At 47.7% G+C, this 19,652-nt stretch overlaps 1 long non-coding RNA gene across 1 annotated transcript in view, besides 3 other annotated features; it reads right to left on the minus strand.

The window, feature by feature from the left end:
* Positions 1-19,652, minus strand: part of LY6E-DT (LY6E divergent transcript) — a 36,360-nt gene that overhangs the window by 15,682 nt on the left and 1,026 nt on the right. The window lies entirely within an intron of this gene.
* Positions 10,010-10,823: an enhancer, noted in NCBI's record as "H3K4me1 hESC enhancer chr8:144089139-144089952 (GRCh37/hg19 assembly coordinates)". NCBI's record gives its function as "activates a minimal SCP1, AML or CMV promoter by ChIP-STARR-seq in naive H9 embryonic stem cells {active_cell/tissue: H9 hESC(naive)}" and the evidence as "EXISTENCE:reporter gene assay evidence [ECO:0000049][PMID:30033119]".
* Positions 10,679-10,768: a silencer, noted in NCBI's record as "silent region_19609". NCBI's record gives its function as "represses an Ori minimal core promoter by ATAC-STARR-seq in GM12878 lymphoblastoid cells {active_cell/tissue: GM12878}" and the evidence as "EXISTENCE:reporter gene assay evidence [ECO:0000049][PMID:35858748]".
* Positions 10,824-11,636: an enhancer, noted in NCBI's record as "H3K4me1 hESC enhancer chr8:144089953-144090765 (GRCh37/hg19 assembly coordinates)". NCBI's record gives its function as "activates a minimal SCP1, AML or CMV promoter by ChIP-STARR-seq in naive H9 embryonic stem cells {active_cell/tissue: H9 hESC(naive)}" and the evidence as "EXISTENCE:reporter gene assay evidence [ECO:0000049][PMID:30033119]".

Raw genomic sequence — 19,652 nt, forward strand, 5'->3', positions numbered from 1 at the left:
GGAGTGCAGTGGCATGATCTCGGCTCATTGCAACCTCCACCTCCCAGGTTCATGCCATTCTCCTGCCTCAGCCTCCCAAGCAGCTGGGACTACAGGCACCCACCACCACGCCCGGCTAATTTTTTTGTATTTTTAGTAGAGACGGGGTTTCACTGTGTTAGCCAGGATGGTGTCAATCTCCTCACCTCATGATCCACCTGCCTCGGCCTCCCAAAGTGCTAGGATTACAGGCGTGAGCCACCACGCCCTACCGGAAAGAGTCTTATGAAGACTTTTCATAAGTGTTAATAGGGATTTTATCAGCTTATTTTGGTTGCAGTTTCCAATTTCTTAAAATGTTGAGGTAATCTTTTCCACCTTCCCAATCCTAATTCTTGTAGATTCATTAATGTTAAACCAATGCCTTCTCATATCTCAATTTTTTGTATATGCATTCTTTTCAGATGTATTAAACAAACGAAAGCCCTTCACAAGCCAAAAAAAAAAAGCTATAAACAGCTCAAAAGAAAAAAAAGGTTTTCTAGACTCTGAAAAACAAAAGAATGAGCAACATTTCAAACAAAAAAGCAATGAAAAGATTACTCCCGTCTTCCTTTAGTTCAGTCTATGTAATTGACTTCTGTTCTGCTCAATATTCAGGAACACATTAGCTGTCTGTGGGAGTCTTGGAAGTTTCTCCTCTATTCTAATGCCACAACTGCCAAAGTTCTTAGAAACTTGCCTTCAAGAGCACCTGTCAGAGTCCTATAGCTGATTATAAAACCACCTTGAAAATAAAGTAAAACAATTGTGGATGAGGAAATCTCAGAACGGCCACAGTTAACGTCTGGTCATCTCTGTGGTACACAATAATTTCACATAACAATCCTAATTATTACTGATAACACATACTGAGATATATCTGAATTACAGGAATCTTACACAATTTTGGAACATATACTAATAACATATTCATACAAATACAGCCCAAATAAAGCCAAATACCGTTTCATACTTGACAATGCTTCCTGTATGATTTTACCAAATAAACCAAATATGCCTCTTTTGGACTTTTACCAGATTTTTAAAAAGGCTAACTTTAGGCCGGGCACAGTGGCTCATGCCTATAATCCCAGCACTTTGGGAGGCCGAGGCAGGCAGATCACAAGGTCAGGAGATCGAGACCATCCTGGCTAACACAGTGAAACGCTGTCTCTACTAAAAATACAAAAAATTAGCCAGGCATGGTGGCGGGTGCCTGTAGTCCCAGCTACTTGGGAGGCTGAGGCAGGAGAATGGCGTGAACCTGGGAGGCGGAGCTTGCAGTGAGCCGGGATGGCGCCACTGCACTCCAGCCAGGGTGACAGAGTGAGACTCTGTCTCCAAAAAAAAAAAAAAGGCTAACTTTAGAATTTGACTTTGGAAAGTTTGTCAGATATCAAAGGTTTAATCAAACATTTGATATTACAACATGAAAGTCCAGGTCACTATAAGTAAAGGGGAAAATCTTTACTCATTGACAGAGGGGAGACTCCCCTTTCCAAACAGGACCCAAAAAAGATGGCATGAGGCCAACTGAATGTCCCCTCTTTCCCTCCCTTTTTTCCTGCTGTTATTCAAAAGGCAAACAAAAATATTTCATTCTCTTTTACTATTACATCAAAATCTTGTTCAAAAAGGAAACCCAAATTTCACCTTTCCATTAATGTACTATTAATGTTAAATCTGATTTTTTTTTTTTTTTTTGAGACGAAGTCTCACTCTTGTCCCCCAGGCGGGAATGCAATGGCGCGATCTTGGCTCACTGCAAACTCTGCCTCCTGGATTCAAGCAATTCTCCTGCCTGAGCCCCCCAAGTAGCTGGGATTACAGGCGTCCACCACCACACCCGGCTAATTTTTGTATTTTTAGTAGAGATGGGGTTTCACCATGTTGGCCAGGCTGGTCTAGAACTCCTGACCTCAGGTGATCCACCCACCTAGGCCTCCCAAATTGCTGGGATTACAGGCATGAGCCACCACGCCAGGCCAAATCTGATTCTTAATAAAACCTTACAAACAAGTCTATCCAATCTTACTTTGAACATAAGACAAAATTTCCATAAATGTTTTATAATTTTCTGTTAAACAGCAGATCAGCTCGCTAAGAAAGCCCTGTTATTCAAACACACGGGCCCGGATACTGACCCTGCATCAGTGTGCTTTTATTTCAATGTTCAACCTACGGAAAACTAAATCATCCCCTTTAAATCCTAGCCAACTTGCTCATATCCACAGAACATCCTGAACAAGATCAACCCTTCACAAACCCTTCACGACTTGCTTAAACTTTCAGTTTCGTCCCATTTCTCTGTTAGGTTAGGGCAACCCTTAAAAATCTCTGCAGCAGCAGACAAAATTACATTCTGTTTTACAAAAAAAAAAAACAAAAAAAAACACATATTTCCAAGCCTTCTTATAACCTTTTACAAAGAACACATTCTACTTCCCTTCTACACCTTGCATGTAAATCTGTTTCTCCAGTAGTCTCAAGTATGTGTTACGCTGTTAACTCTTAGCAACTTTTATTTTTGCTGAAAAACCTAGTAAGGAAGCAGTTTTCACCATGTATAAGATTGGAGAGCCCAGGCAAGGAGATTGCTGCAGATAATGTGTGACTCTTCCCAGCCTCACCAGGGGACCTAGCTAACTCCATGTGTCCCCAGGCCTTCCCTAGAATCTAATGGCTATAAAACAGACAAGTCAAACACTTATTAAAAGTCATAGAAGCAGCTTATGGCCTTAAAGTATCTAGCAAATGGTACTAAGCATTCCTAATTTAGACCAAATGGGTAAGCCTCCCAGCAATCATCTTTTAACAGTCTTTATTTTTCAAAGATTATCAATCACATGACCTAAAAGGCATTAAAGTTTCTATTTTCCTGACAGCGTTTGATTTAAGCACTTGCTTTTCTTTTATCACTTAACTTTTATTTTAAGTTCAGGGGTACATGTGTAGGTTTATTATCTAGGTAAACTTGTGTCGTGGGGGTTCATTGTACAGATCATCTCATCACCCGGGTACTAAGCCCCAGCACCCACTTGTAGGGAAAAGAAAGAGAGATCAGACTGTTACTGTGTCTATGTAGAAAGGTAAGACATAAGAAATTCCATTCTGACCTGTACCTTGAACAATTGTTTTGCTGAGATGCTGTTAATTTGTAACTTTGTCCCAGCCACTTTGCCCCAACTTTGAGCTCACAAAAACATGTGTTGTATGGAATCAAGGTTTAAGGGATCTAGGGCTGTGCAGGACGTGCCTTATTAACAAAATGTTTACAAGCAGTATACTTGGTAAAAGTCATCGCCATTCTCTAGTCTCAATAAACCAGGGGCACAATGCACTGCGGAAAGCCGCAGGGACCTCTGCCCTTGAAAGTGGGGTATTGTCCAAGGTTTCTCCCCATGTGATAGTCTGAAAAGTGGCCTCGTGGGATGAGAAAGACCTGACCGTCCCCCAAACTGACACCCGTAAAGGGTTTGTGCTGAGGTGGATTAGTAAAAGAGGAAAGCCTCTTGCAGTTGAGATAGAGGAAGGCCACTGTCTCCTGCCTGCCCCTGGGAACTGAATGTCTCGGTATAAAACCCGATTGTACATTTGTTCAATTCTGAGACAGGAGAAAAACCGCCCTATGGCGGGAGGCGAGACATGTTGGCAGCAATGCTGCCTTGTTATTCTTTACTCCACTGAGATGTTTGGGTGGAGAGAAACATAAATCCGGCCTACGTGCACATCCAGGCATAGTACCTCCCCTTGATTCTTTTGCTCACATGTTTTTTGCTGACCTTCTCCCTATTATCACCCTGCTCTCCTACTGCATTCCTCTTGCTGAGATAATGAAAATAACAATCAATAAAAACTGAGAGAACTCAGAGACCAGTGCCAGAGCAGTTCCTTGGTATGCTGAGTGCCGGTCTCCTGGGCCCACTATTGTTTCTCTATACTTTGTCTCTGTGTCTTCTTTTCTCAGTCTCTCATCCCACCTGACAAAAAATGCCCACAGGTGTGGAGGGGCAGGCCACCCCTTCACCCATTACTTATTTTTCCTGATCCCCTCCCTCCTCCTACCCTCCAACCTCCAATAGGCCCCAGTGTGTGCTATTCCCCTCTATGTGTCCATGTGTTCTCATCATTTAGCTCCCACTTATAAGCGAGAACATGCGGTATTTGGTGCCTGTTCCTGCCTAAGTTTGCTAAGGATGATGGCCTCTAGCTCCATCCATGTTCCTTCAAAGGATATTATCTCGTTCCTTTTTATGGCTGCATAATAATATTCCATGGTGTATATGTACCGTATTTTCTTTATCCAGTCTACCATTGATGGGCATTAGGGTTGATTCCATGTCTTTGCTATTGTGAATAGTGCTGCAGTGAACATACACATTTATGTATTTTTATGACAGAATACTTTACATTCCTTTACGTATATACTTGGTAATGGGATGGCTGGGTCAAATACTATTTCTGTTTTTAAGTCTTTCAGGAATTGCCAAACTGTTTTCTACAGTGGTTGAACTAATTTACATTCCCACCAACAGTGTATAAGCATTCCTTTTTCTCTACTACCTTGTCTTGTCAGCATCTGATATTTTTTGACTTTTTTTGTTTGTTTGTTTGAGAGAGTTTCACTCTTGTGGCCCAGGCTGGAATGCAGTGGCATGATCTCAGCTCACTGCAAACTCCACCTCCTGGGTTAAAATAATTCTCTTGCCTCAGTCTCCTGAGTAGCTGGGACTACAGGCACACACCACCATGCCCAACTAATTTGTGTATTTTTAGTAGAAACAGGGTTTCTCCATGCTGGCCAGGCTGGTCTTGAACTTCTGACCTCATGATCCACCCACCTTGGCCTCCCAAAGTGCTAGGATTACAGGCGTGAGCCACCGCACCTGGCCATTTTTTGACTTCTTAATAATGGCCATTCTGACTAGTGTGAGATGGCATTTAATTGTGGTTTTGATTTGCATTGCTCTAACAATCAGTGATGTTGAGCTTATTTTAATATGCTTCTTGGCCGCATGTATGCCTTATTTTGAAAAGTGTCTGTTCATGTCCTTTGCCTACTTTTTCATGGGGTTGTTTTTTTCTTGTAAAGTCATTTAAGTTCCTTATAGCTGCTGGATATTAGACCTCTGTTAAATGCATAGTTTGCAAAAACTTTCTCCCATTCTATAAGTTGTCTGTTTACTCTGCTGATAGTTTCTTTTGCTATGCAGAAGCTCTTCAGTTTAATTAGGTCCCATTTGTCAATTTTTGCTTTTGTTGCTATTGCTTTTGGTGTCTTCATCATGAAATCTTTGTCATTTCCTATGTCCAGGATGGTATTGCCTAGGTTGTCTTCCAGGGTTTTTATAGTTTGGGGTTTTACATTTAAGTCTTCAATCTATCTTGAGTTAATTTTTGTATGTGGTAAAACATAGGGGACCAATTTCATCCTTCTGCATATGGCTAGCAAGTTATCCCAGAGCCATTGATTAAATAGGTAGTTCTTTCCCCATTGCTTGTTATTATTGACTTTGTTGAAGATCAGATGGTTGCAGGTGTGTGGCCTTATTTCTGGGCTCTCTATTCTGTTCCTTTGGTCTATACAGACCATAATATGTCTGTTTTTATACCAATACCATGCTGTTTTGGTTACTGTAGCCCTGTAGTATAGTTTGAAGCTGGGTAGGATGATTCCTCCAGCTTTGTTCTTTTGCTTAGGATTGCCTTGGCTATTCAGGCTAATTTTCAGTTCCATATGAATTTTAAAGTAGTTTTTTCTAGTTCTGTGAAAAATGTTATTGGTAGTTTAATAGGAATAGCACTGAATCTATAAATTGCTTCGGGTGATATGGCCATTTTAACAATATTGATTCCTCCTATCCATGAGCATGGAATATTGTTCCATTTGTGTCATCTCTGATTTCTTTGAGCAGTGTTTTGTAATTCTCCCTGCAGAGATCTTTCACCTCGCTGATTAGCTGAAGTCCTAGGTATTTTATTCCTCTGTGGCAATTGTGAATGGGATTGCATTCCTGATTTACCTCTCAGCTTGACTCTTGTTGGTGTATAGGAATGCTAGTGATTTTTGCAAACTTACTTTGTATCCTGAGACTTTGCTGAAGTTGTTTATCAGCTTAAGGAGTTTTGGGCCAAGACTATGGGGTTTTCTAGATATAGGATCATTTGTCTGCAAACAGGGATAGTTTGGCTTCCTCTCTTCCTATTTGGATGCCTTTTTAATTTTTTTTTTTTTTTTTTTTGAGACACTCTGTCACCCAGGCTGGAGTGTAGTGATGCAATCTCAGCTCACTGCAACCTCCACTTCCTGGGCTCAAGTGATCCTCCTGATTCAGCCTCCTGAGGAGCTGGGACTACAGATGCAAGCCACCATGCCCAGCTAATTTTTTGCTTTTTTTTTTTTTTTTTTTTTTGTAGAGACGAGGTCTCACTGTGTTACCCAGGCTGATCTCAAACTCCTGAGCCCAAAGCAATCCACCTGCCTTAGCCTCTCAAAGTGCTGGGATTATAGGAGTGAGCCACATGCCTGGACAAGATGCCTTTTATTTATTTCTCTTGCCCGATTGCTCTGGCTGGGACTTCCAATACTACGTTGAACCGGAATGGTGAGAGAGAGAATTCCTATCTCATGCTGGTTTTCCAGGGGAATACTTCCAGCTTTTGGCCATTCAGTATGATGTTGGCTGTGGGTTTGTCAGAGATGCCTCTTATTATTTTGAGGTATGTTCCTTCAATATCTAGTTTATTGAGAGTTTTTAACATTAAGCGGTATTGAATTTTATAAAAAGCTTTCTCTGACTCTATTGAGATAATTGTATGGTTTTTGTCTTTAGTTCTGTTTATGTGATGAATCACATGTGTTGATTTGTGTATGTTGAACCAACCTTGCATGCCAGGGATAAAGCCTACTTGATCATAGTGGATAAGCTTGATGATGTGCTGCTGGATTCCATTTGCCAGTCTTTTGTTGAGGGTTTTTGTGTCGATGTTCATCGAGGATATTGGCCTGAAGTTTTTGTTGTTGTTGCTGTGTCTCTGCCAGGTTTTGGTATCAGAATGATGGTGGCTTCATAGAATGAGTTAGAGAGGAGTCTCTCCTCCTCAATTTTTTTGGAATCATTTCAGCAACAATGGTACCAGTTCTCCTTTTACATCTGATATACTTCAGCTGAGACTCCATCTGGACCTGGGCTTTTTTTGATTGGTAAGCTATTCATTACTGATTCAATTTCAGAGCTCATTATTGGTGTGTTCAGGGATTCCATTTCTTCCTGGCTCAGTTTTTTGTTTTTTGTTTGTTTTTGAGACAGAGTCTTGCTCTGTCTCCCAGGCAGGAGTGCAGTGGTGCAATCTTGGCTCACTGCAACCTCTGCCTCCCAGGTTCAAGCAATTCTCCTGCCTCAGCCTCCTGAGTAGCTGGGATTACAGGCATGTACCACCATGCCCAGCTAATTTGTATATTTTAGTGGAGATGGGGTTTCACTATGTTGGCCAGGCTGGTCTCAAACTCGTGATCTCAAGTGATCCACCCACCTTGGCCTCCTAAAGTGCTGGGATTACAGGCATGAGCTACCATGCCTGGCCCTGGCTCAGTCTTGAGAGGGTGTATATGTCCAGGAATTTACCCATTTTTTCTGGATTTTCTAGTTTATGTGCATAGAGGTGTTCATAATATTCTCTGGTGGTTATTTATATTTCTGTGGGGCCACTGGTAATATCTCCTTTGTCATCTCTGATCGTGTTTATTTGGATCTTCGCTTTTCTTCTGTATTAGTCTAGCTAGTGGTCTATCTATTGTATTAACTTTTTCAAAAAACCAACTTCTGGATTTGTTGATCTTTTGAATGGTTTTCACGTCTCAGTCTCCTTCGGTTCTGCTCTGATTTTGGCTACTTCTTGTCTTCTGCTAGCTTTGGGGCTGGTTTTCTCTTGGTTCTCCAGTTCTTTTAGTTGTGATGTTCGGTTGTTAAATTGAGATCTTTCTAACTTTTTGATGTGGGCCTTTAGTGCTATAAATTTCCCCTTAACACTGACTTAGCTGTGTCCCAGAGATTCTGGTATGCTGTATCTTTGTTCTTATTAGTTTGAAAGAACGTCTTGATTTCTGACTTAATTTCATCATCTACGCAAAAGTCAATCAGGGGCAGGTTATTCAATTTCCATATAATTGCATGATTTTGAGTGAATTTCTTAGTCTTGATTTCTAATTTGGTTGTGCTGTGGTCTGAGAAATTGGTTGTTATGATTTCAGTTCTTTTGTATTTGCTGAGGAGTGTTTTTTGTTCAATCATGTGATCTATCTTAGAGTATGTGTCATGTGGCAATGAGAAGAATGCATATTCTGTTGTTTCGGGGTGGAGAGTTCTGTAGGTGTCTATCAGGTCCATTTGTTCCAGTGCTGAGTTCAGCTCCTGAATTTTTTTGTGAATTTTCTGCCTTAATGATCTGTCTAATACTGTCAGTGGGGTGTTAAAGTCTCCCACTATTATTGTGTGAGAGTCTAAGTCTCTTTGAAGGTCTTTAAGAACTTGCTTTATAAATGTGGGTGCTCCTATGTTGGGTGCATATATATTTAGGATAGTTAGGTCTTCTTGTTGAATTGAACGTTTTACCATTATGTAATGCCCATCTTTGTCTTTTTTGATCTTTGTCGGCTTAATGTCTGTTTTGTCTGAAGTTAGGATTGCAACCCCTGATTTGTTGTTTTCCATTTGCTTGGTAGATTTTTCTCCATCCTTTTATTTGAGCCTATGGATGTCACTGCATGTGAAATGGATCTCTTGAAGACAACATACCGATGGGTATTGGTTCTTTATCCAGCATGCAACTCTGTGCCTTTTAATTGGGGCATTTAGCCCATTTACATGCAAGGTTAGTATTGATATATGTGGATTTGCTCCTGTCATCATGTTAGCTGATTATTATGCAGATTTGTTTGTGTGGTTGCTTTATAGTGCAACTGGTCTGTGTACTTTGGTATGTTTTTGTAGTGGCTGGTAACAGTCTTTCTTTTCCATATTTAGTGCTGCCTTCAGGAGTTCTTGTGAGGCAGGTCTGGTGGTGACAAATTCCCTCAGCATTTACTTGTCTGAAAAGGATCTTATTTCTCCTTCACTTATGAAGCTTAGTTTGGCCAGATATGAAATTCTGGGTTGGAATTTCTTTAGGAATGTTGAATATTGGCCCCCAATCTCTTCTGGCTTGTAGGGTTTCTACTGAGAGGTCTGCTCTTAGTCTGATAGGTGTTCCTTTGTAGGTGACCTGGCCTTTCTCTCTGGCTGCCTTTAACTTTTTTCCTTTCATTTCGACCTTGAAGAATTTCATGATTATGTGTCTTGGGGATGATCTTCTCATAGAGTATCTTACTCTGAGTTTCCTGGATTTGGATGGCAGCCTCTCTAGCTAGGCTGGGGAAGTTTTCATGGATGATATCCTGAAATCTGTCTTCCAAGTTGCTTACACTCTCCCCATCTCTTTCAGGGACACCAATGAGTCACAGATTTGGATTACAGAATCCCATATTTCCTGGAGGTTTTGTTCATTCCTTTTCAAAGTTCTTTTGTCTCCATTCTTGTCTGACTGTCTTATTTCAGAAAGCTAGTCTTCAAGCACTGAGATTCTTTCCTCCACTTGGTATATTCTGCTATTAATACTTCTGATTGCATTATGAAATTCTTATAGTGTGGTTTTCGGTGCTATCAGGTCAGTTATGCTCTTTTCTATACTGGCAATTTTGTCTGTCAGCTCCTGCATCATTTTATTGTGACTCCTATCATCCTTGGATTGGGTTTCCACATACCCCTACACCTCAATGATCTTGGTTCCTATCCATATTCTGAATTCTATTTCTGTCATTTCAGCCATCTCAGCCTGGTTCAGAACCCTTGCTGGAGAGGTGGGGCAGTCATTTGGAGGAAAGAAGGCACTCTGGCTTGTGTTGTCTGGGTTCTTGAACTGGTTCTTTCTTATCTTTTGGGCTGATGTTCCTATGCTCTTTGAAGTTGCTAACCTTTGGATGATTTTTTTTTCTTTTATCCTATTTGATGACCTTGAGGATTTGATTGTAGTATAAGTTGGATTCAGCTGACTGGCTTTGTTTCTGGATGATTTTAGGGGGCCAAGGCTCAGTTCCCAACTCCCAGACTGTGTGCTCTAACTGGGGTACTTGTATCAGGCACCAACTTTGTTCTCTGGCTCCCGGAGGTTAGGAATCAACTGCACTGAGGGATCAAGGTGCTCCTCACTACCGGTCACTACACTCTGATAGGTGGTGCCAGCCAGTGCATTTTGCAGTGCAGTGGCAGCGGGATCCATTCTTGCTTGCACATGCCAGCAGCCGTGGTGGCAGCAGCACAGGGTGCACGTTCATCGGCTGTGGCAGGGTGCTAGCAAGTGCTGGGGTGCCTGCCTCTGTGCAGGTGTTCACCACAGTGGCAGACGAAAGCACCTGGGGGGCAGGGCCCCCTGCTGGCAACAGCCATGCTGGCGGTGGTGTTGGGATGGAGGTGGAGCACCGGCAGGCCCAGGCCTGTGGCATTCTTTGTGCCCCACAGGCAGGGTGGTCCCTATTCCGTGCCTAGTTTCACTCCCGCAACAGTGTTGGTGCAAGAGTGGGGTGCAAGGGAGGTGGGGCTGGCTGGCTCTGTGTCTGCCAAGGCTCCAACTGCAATGGCAGTCAGCAGGGGGCGTTGGGCAAACGGTACTCCTGCCACAGCAATGGCAGGGCAGGGTGCAAACACACAGGTACACTGGCGGGCAAGGAAAGCAAAACCCACCTGCACAGACATGCACTGGCAAAAGCAAGATGGGGGGTGACAGTGGGCCCTGGAGAAGCTACAGTGTGGGAGGCAGTGGGCAGGCTGGCACAGGGATGTGGGGGCTGCCCTGCTGGAGCTCTCCACCAATCAGGCATGGTCTGCCAGTGCAGAAGCTATGCTGCAGGCCCCCAGGGCACCCAGAGCTGCCCTGCAAGCAGGCGTGGCCAGGCCGGGGCCCTGGGAGAGGCCAGCAGACCAAGGCATGCTCGGGTCAGACTGGCCCCATCTGATGGGCAAGACCACCCCACAAAGATCACATACAACAGCTCCCCTAGGGCTAAAATCTCCTATGGGAGGAATTTGAGCCTGGGGGATGGCCCTCCACTACAGACGCTCCTGCACCAAACCCTCCGGGCTCTGCCTCAGCTGGCTGCTGCCCCCGCACCTTCTCTAGGCAGCTCTCTCTGCCACCTCGAATGTCCATGTGGTTAATCTCCTCCTGCCGGGATTCCAGAGGCCCGTAATGACAGTGGGCTCCTCCTTGCCAGTTCAACTCACCCATTCTCCCTGAGTCTTGGGGACCAGTAACGAGTCCCAGTGCGCAGTGGCCCCGTGCAGGGTTCCCAGCTTCCTCCCGCTTCAGCCTAGCTTCTGTGTCCTCCTGCAGTCCACTCTGGGTGTCCCGCAGTCCACTCCTGGTGCCTTCCCTCTGAAGATCTGTTGGAAACATGCCAGTTGTCTCTGCCCCTCGGTGGCAGCTGTTTCACCTGGCTACGTTGTCGGCTGTCTTCCAACTTTTAGCCTATTTTTCTTTAATTCAGTTAATTAGAGCTCTTTTTTTTTTTTTTTTTTTTTTTTTGAGATGGAGTTTCACTCTTGTTGCCCAGGCTGGAGTGCAATGGCACGATCTTGGCTCACCGCAACCTCAGCCTACCGGGTTCAAGCGATTCCCCTGCCTCAGTCTCCTGAGTAGCTAGGATTACAGGCATGCACCACCACGCCCGGCTAATTTTGTATTTTTAGTAGAGACAGGGTTTCTCCATGTTGGTCAGGCTGGTCTTGAACTCCCGACCTCAGGTGATCCACCCACCTCAGCCTCCCAAAGTGCTGGGATTACAGGCATGAGCCACCGCGCCCGGCAATTAGAGCTGTTTTATAGAAAGACCACAAGCGACACATTAAATACACAGACAGACAGAAATGAAGAATCAAGACAGAATTCCGTTGACTAAGAAGTGTTTAGAGGGAGAGCAGGGGCTTTAAAACAATATCTGCACAAATATAGCCCAAATATCAGCTTTAATGAAGTCGATTTCTAACTATAGAGCTCTCAAAAGAAAAATCCTTTTAAAATCTGGCTGGGCATGGAGGCTCACGCCTGTAATCCTAGCACTTTGGGAGGCCGAGGTGGGTGGATCACCTGAGGTCAGGAGTTCGAGACCAACCTAGCCAAGATGGTGAAACCCCATCTCTACTAAAAATATAAAATTAGCCAAGCATAGTGGCGGGCACCTGTAATCCCAGCTACTCGGGAGGCTGAGGCAGGAGAATTGCTTGAACCCAGGAGGCGGAGGTTGCAGTGAGGCAAGATCACACCATTGCACTCCAGCCTGGGCAGCAGGAGTGAAACTCCATCTCAAAAATAAAAATAATAATAATAATAATAATAAATCTTTTATTACTAGATTTCAGCCAGGACAACGGGCCAATATTTCTGGCTTTTGAATTGTTTTACTAAAGGTAAATCAGTGAGCCTTAACAAAGAGGATGACTTAACCACAGATATTCAAAGTGTCTCCAAAGAGATAATAAGTGATTTTTACAAGGTCTAAAATCTCCCCAAAGGTAGTTCAAGACAGAAAATCAGAAGCTGTCCATAGAGGGGAAAATAATCAATAAGCGGCAAAAGTCCAGCAAGTATTAGACCACGAAGGACTCAATCCCAAAGCCAGGAACTGAACCCAGGCCACTATTGCGAAGAACCACCAGAGCCTTAGCTAGCTGATCTGTAGCACAAGGTGGCTGCTGGTGTCTTTCCCAGGAGTCAGTTCCAACAGCAATTCAATCTAAAAAGCCCGCTAAAGTCCAGATGGCAATTTTCCAGGTTTTTACCATATTAGCAAAAGGTATTTCCAGAAAGGGAGTAAAGCAGGCATCTCCGTGATCCCCAAGAATTCACTCTCAGAAATGGGCTTAAGAAAGTGATAGGCGGCCAGGCGCGGTGGCTCACACCTGTAATCCCAGCACTTTGGGAGGCCAAGGCGGGCAGATCATGAGGTCAGGAGATCGAGACCATCCTGGCTAACACGGTGAAACCCTGTCTCTACTAAAAATACAAAAACAAAATTAGCTGGATGTGGTGGTGGGTACCTGTAGTCCCAGCTACTTGGGAGGCTGAGGCAGGAGAATGGCATGAACCCGGGAGGCAGAGCTTGCAGTGAGCTGAGATTGCGCCATTGCACCCCAGCCTGGGCGACAGAGTGAGACTCTGTCTCAAAAAAAAAAAAAGAAGAAGAAGAAAGCGATAGACAGTAAAAGCCCTGTAGGGACGAGACCTTTTAAGACAAAACTCTTGAGAGGGCTCAACACACTCAGGGGAAGAGCAAGGCAACTCATTTCTGACTCCTGGTCCTCTTGGACCAGCCGCCTGACGTGAACTTGAAAATTCCTGCCCTCCAGATGGTGGAGACCAGGAGAGAATTCCTGCACATGGTCACAAAGTCACGCTTTCAAGGACATAAACCAAGACAAGAGGGAAACTTCCTCCAGTTTTTGCTCCAGGAAACCGCAGCAAAGTTTGTCACTGACCAGCCTGTCGGACCAGGTTGAGCCGTGGGCTTCCAGGGGTCCTGAGCTCATGTTTATCCTGTGGTGCCCCCGCTTTATGACAGAACAACAGAGAAAAACGAATTCATAGCACAAGGTACTCCAGATTTGCTACAGGCTCAGACTAGCCTCACAAATCCTTCTTCTCATTAATAAACAGTGGTTTTTACCATTCACTCAACCAGTATGCACAGAGAGAGAGGGCCCAGAAGCCTGGCTGGTAAGGCATTATTATTATTATTATTATTATTATTATTTTTGAGGTGGAGTTTTACTCTTATTGCCCAGGCTGGAATGCAATGGTGTGATCTCAGCTCACTGCAACCTCCGTCTCCCAGGTTCCAGTGATTCTCCTGCCTCAATCCCCCAAGTAGCTGGGATTACAGCCGCCCACCACCACACCTGGCTAATTTTTTTTTTTTTTTTGTATTTTTAGTAGGGACGGGGTTTTACCATGTTGGCCAGGCTGGTCTTGAACTCCTGACCTCAGGTGATCCGCCCGCCTTGGCTTCCCAAAGTGCTGGGATTACAGGCATGAGCCACTGCGCCCAGCCCGGTAAGACATTCTTACCCTGTTGCTGGCATGCCAGGTTTTTTGGGTCCCCTTTCCCTGGGCTGCCCTGGTGACCCTGCTCACAGCACCAACCACAGCTATGGGGGCGAAGCCACATCACAAAGGAAAATCACCTTTTTCCACTTCATGGAATCACAGGGGGAAAAAACCTCTCGATTTTGCAAGATGCTGCCCAGTGAGCTGCATGGGGAACCGGTAAAATTAACATTTTCCATCCCAGCTGTCGCAAAATACAAGGAAACAGACACAGGTCACCTCGCTCAGCAGCCAACATTGACCGCACAAGGCTCAGACTTGCCCCCTGTGGTCCCTGGTGTCTTTGATGCACTCAAGGTGGGGAGGGATGACCTCTCACTGGGAATTCAATGGGTGGTATTTGGGCCAGATGGACGAGCGGACGGACACCCCCAGTCAGGCCTGTTGAGCTTCCACTAACAATTCCTTCAGGGCTCACCAAATGGGACCACACAAATAAGGAGGCTTCTCTGAGTGAGGCTTGCTGGACTTCCGTCAGCGACTCCTTCAGAGATCCCCCCCACGTGTTCAAACACACACACGACACCACCACAAGTGTTTCCACTCAGAGGCACTCACCACGCAGAAGCCGGGTCCAGCTGTCACGGAATCCAAAACCAAGCGGGGGTGACAGAAAGGAAAATAAGATCTTGGGTCCCCAGACTCACTATGCCAAAGGAAAAAGTTAAGCTTAGAAACTGAGTCATGCAAAAAACAAAAACAAAAACAAAAAAAACCCCTGCCTTTCCTTTTGTTCTTAAACAGACAGCTACAAGATAGAAGGCCACGTGTCTCCCCAGGTGGCCTCCCTCACCTGAAAATGTAAACGAACAACAAATCAGCCAGGCACGGTGGCTCGTGGCTCACGCCTGTAATCCCGCACTTTGGGAGGCTGAGGCGGGTGGATCACCTGAGGTCAGGAATTCGAGACCAGCCTGGCCAACATGGCAAAACCCCCATCTCTACAAAAATACAGAAATTAGCCAGGCGTGGTGGTAGTGCATGCCTGTAATCCCAGCTACTCAGGAGGCTGAGGCAGGAGAATCGCTTGAACCCGGGAGGCAGAGGTTGCGGTGAGTTGAGATTGCGCCACTGCACTCCAGCCTAGATAACAGAGTGGGGCTCCATCTCAAAAAAAACACACACACACACACACAAATCAACTGTTCCTCTGGCCCCCACTTTCACCTGCAACCTGGAGAGCAGTGGACACTGATCACAGCCTCACAAGAATATGACCCTCCCTTTTTTCCTTTCCTCCTTCCCCTGCGGCCACTTCTTTCTTTAACTATTGAAGCCCCAAAACCCTCTTTGGAAAAGGAGTGGGCTGCACACCCTACTGTGTTTTCTGCCTCTTTTTCCCGGGCATGGCTTCAACCTTGGCAAAGTGAACCTCTGAACTGGTTGAGACCTGTCTCAGTCACTCTGTGGGAGGGGCCTCCCCTGAGGTTGGGGAAGATGTCCCAAGAGGAGGGACAAGCAGCAACTCAGGGAGGCCTGGAGCCAACTTCGGTTTCAGGGTTGAGCCAGGGTCAAGGTGGCAGTGGAAGTTACAGGAAGAGCCTAAGGCCCCAGTGGTGGGAGCAGATGCTGAAATCCCCGGGAGCACTTTGGACTGTGCCCTGGGAGAGGCGGGAACCAAGCCTGAGAGCAGAGTACTGGCAGCTGCACGTTGGAATGTGAAGCCTGGACACAGGGAGGTCAGGCAGCGAGCTCACCTCACGGCAGCCCAGCCAGAGAGTCAGCCTGCTCTCCCCGCACTGAGCCAAGGCTGGGAGACAGCCTACCTCCCACCAGAGCCAGCAGGCAGGTCCCAGCCCAGCCTGCCCCGTCCCGCCCCAGCCTGCCCTGTCCTGCCATCTGCACTCCCCGTCAGGCCTCCTGGCCAGCCCCACAGTCCCTGCCTTCCAAGAGACACAGGCAGCGGCAGCAGGGGCTGGATGGGGGAGGCCAAGAATCAGAGGCGCTCCCCCACAGGACCCCTGAATCGTGGCCAGAGAAAGGTCAGGGCAGGATGAGGCCTGTGGCCACGGGCAGATCTCAGGTGGCTGACCCGTCCTAGGAGCACACAGGGCAGCTGTGGCTCCTTCCCTCTTGAACCCAGAAAACAGGGCAGAGCTCATCGGTGGCCTCATCTGCCAGCCCCAGCAGTAAGGCCACCGGCTCATTCTTCATGGGGCAGCAGCATCTGGCTTTCTGGCTCCAGACACCGCCTGCTGGGCCAGGCCTTCAACCAGGTCCCTCCTGACAGCAGGCACGCCTGAGTCCAGACCCGAGACAGAGCCGGGAGGCAGCCTGCAGCAAACGTGCCCCAAACTCCACAGGCGCCTAACCCAGTCCTGCCAGGGGAAAGTGCTCAAGGCTCTGCCCTCTCGCTGGAGGCCCACTGCTCACTCTCACCCGTGGGACTTCTCCCCACAGGCCCCAGCAGCCTCCTCCCGTCATCTGAGACGCTACCAGGACAAAAGTCTTCCACAACTAGGGCCAAAGGCCTCTTAGTCATGGAAGTCTCCCTGAACCTATTCTGGTTCGGAGGTTGCCTGGTTTAAAATTTTAAAAATTAAAAAAACAAAAGCCTCCGCATGACAGCAGGCCCGTCCCAGTCTTATGATCTCTCTGCTCTGGTGTGGGAGGAGGAGGGAGTGCCGTGTGAGGAGGAGGGAGTGCCGTGTGAGGAGGAGGAGGGAGTCCTGTGTGAGGAGGAGGGAGTCCCGTGTGAGGAGGAGGGAGTCCCGTGTGAGGAGGAGGGAGTGCTGTGTGAGGAGGAGGAGGGAGTCCTGTGTGAGGAGGAGGGAGTCCCGTGTGAGGAGGAGGGAGTCCCGTGTGAGGAGGAGGGAGTCCCGTGTGAGGAGGAGGGAGTGCTGTGTGAGGAGGAGGAGGGAGTCCTGTGTGAGGAGGAGGGAGTGCCGTGTGAGGAGGAGGGAGTCCCGTGTGAGGAGGAGGGAGTCCCGTGTGAGGAGGAGGGAGTCCCGTGTGAGGAGGAGGGAGTGCTGTGTGAGGAGGAGGAGGGAGTCCTGTGTGAGGAGGAGGGAGTGCCATGTGAGGAGGAGGGAGTCCTGTGTGAGGAGGAGGGAGTCCCGTGTGAGGAGGAGGGAGTGCTGTGTGAGGAGGAGGAGGGAGTCCTGTGTGAGGAGGAGGGAGTCCCATGTGAGGAGGAGGGAGTCCTGTGTGAGGAGGAGGGAGTCCCGTGTGAGGAGGAGGGAGTGCCGTGTGAGGAGGAGGAGGGAGTCCTGTGTGAGGAGGAAGGAGTCCCATGTGAGGAGGAGGAGGGAGTCCTGTGTGAGGAGGAGGGAGTGCTGTGTGAGGAGGAGGGAGTCCTGTGTGAGGAGGAGGGAGTCCTGTGTGAGGGGGAGGGAGTGCCGTGTGAGGGGGAGGGAGTCCCGTGTGAGGAGGAGGGAGTGCCGTGTGAGGAGGAGGGAGTCCCATGTGAGGAGGAGGGAGTCCTGTGTGAGGAGGAGGGAGTGCCGTGTGAGGAGGAGGGAGTGCCGTGTGAGGGGGAGGGAGTCCCGTGTGAGGAGGAGGGAGTCCCGTGTGAGGAGGAGGGAGTGCTGTGTGAGGAGGAGGAGGGAGTCCTGTGTGAGGAGGAGGGAGTGCCGTGTGAGGAGGAGGGAGTCCCGTGTGAGGAGGAGGGAGTCCTGTGTGAGGAGGAGGGAGTCCCGTGTGAGGAGGAGGGAGTCCCGTGTGAGGAGGAGGGAGTCCTGTGTGAGGAGGAGGGAGTCCCGTGTGAGGAGGAGGAGGGAGTCCTGTGTGAGGAGGAAGGAGTCCCATGTGAGGAGGAGGAGGGAGTCCTGTGTGAGGAGGAGGGAGTGCTGTGTGAGGAGGAGGGAGTCCTGTGTGAGGAGGAAGGAGTCCCATGTGAGGAGGAGGAGGGAGTCCTGTGTGAGGAGGAGGGAGTGCCGTGTGAGGAGGAGGAGGGAGTCCTGTGTGAGGGGGAGGGAGTCCTGTGTGAGGGGGGAGGGAGTCCTGTGTGAGGAGGAGGAGGGAGTGCTGTGTGAGAAGGAGTGCTGCTACGTAAGAAGGAGGTAGATGTGTGGGGGGAGAGTTGGCATTCGGCCCGGTCAGGACTCCATGGCCCTTGTTACAGTTGTGGGTAGAAATGGAATCTCTGTGACATCTCCTGCTCCCCTTTCACCTGCCCCAAGGCAGGTCTCCAGTACTCCCTCTCCTTTCTGATCATGGGCCCAAAGAGGCTCATTCAGAGAGGATCAGTCCCATGCCCTGGGGGCAGGAATGCTGAGCACATAGAGGTTTCCTGGAGGGGCCACGTGGGCGGCATGGAAGCTCCCCACCCCTTCCGGGAGACGGCGCCCTGTGCCTCTCGCGTGTATCCATTTATAATTAACTGCAAATGTGTTTCCCTGAGTTCCCTGAGCCACTCTTGCAAATCAATTGAACGCAAAACCGGGAGGGGCTGCAGTATTGCTGGGAAAGAGGGTCCTGATCCAGACCCCAAGAGCAGGTTCTTGGATGTTGTGCAGGAAGTAATTTGGGGTGAGCCACAGAGCACAGTGAGAGAAGCAGGTTTATTTGAAATGGCTCCGTTCCAGAGTGGGGCGTGCTCAGAAAGCAGGAGGAGGAGGGCCTGTCCTCTGTTAGTGCCTCTGCTTACAAGAAACTGTAAGGAGCTACAATTACACCTGGAATGGGCAGATGCACCCACTAAGGATAGGGGCTGTGGGTGCCATCAGTGCCCGTTCATCCTCCAACCTCAGGCTGCTCATTGAAATTATCTCTGAGTAAAGTGGCCTGCACTCTTGGGTTATCTGGACAGTCTGCGGGCTTGCTGGGAGATGCCCCATATGGCCACAAATATTCTGTAATTATAATTGGTGTCCAGCTTGAGACATGGCTATTTTTAGACCATAAGCATTAACCTTATAGGTGCCTTGTGAGTGCCTCCTACTCACTTCAAGATGGAGTCACTCTGGTCATGTTTCATTAAACCAGAGGCCTGGTGAGCAAGCGTTCCTCTAACAGTGGGAACCTCAACGTCGGGCCAGTCGGTAAGAAGTTCCAGAGGCTGGCCCTCGCAGCTCATGTGTGTGCATATGTGTGTGTGTGTGTGTGTGTGTGTGTGTGTGTAGGTGTCTGGATCTGACGCTATCTGCAGGTACCGGAATGGTGTTGGAGGACACTCGGCTGGTGTCCGCTGCAGAACTGATGGCTTGCTCGGTGGCGGGGAGACGTCCACCTGCCACATTTGGCCCCAGCAGTCTTGGGAGTCTCCTGTGTTGATGTCTTCTGTGTTGAGTGAGAGACAGGATAAATGGTTTGAGAGTTTTTTCCAAACAGCCCTCCTCCTAATGCAGCTTGTTTTCTGAATCAGAGGGTCCTGTCTTGAAGGGGGCAAACCCACCCGTGCTTTCGTCCCACAGTTCTTACTGAGCCCCTGCCATGGCAGGGATGGCCCCAGGTGCCGGCTGCAGAGACAGAACCCCCTGCCCTCACCGCCAACATTC

The sequence above is a fragment of the Homo sapiens genome, chromosome 8 (genome assembly GCF_000001405.40).
Source record: "Homo sapiens chromosome 8, GRCh38.p14 Primary Assembly".
Taxonomy (NCBI): domain Eukaryota; kingdom Metazoa; phylum Chordata; class Mammalia; order Primates; family Hominidae; genus Homo; species Homo sapiens.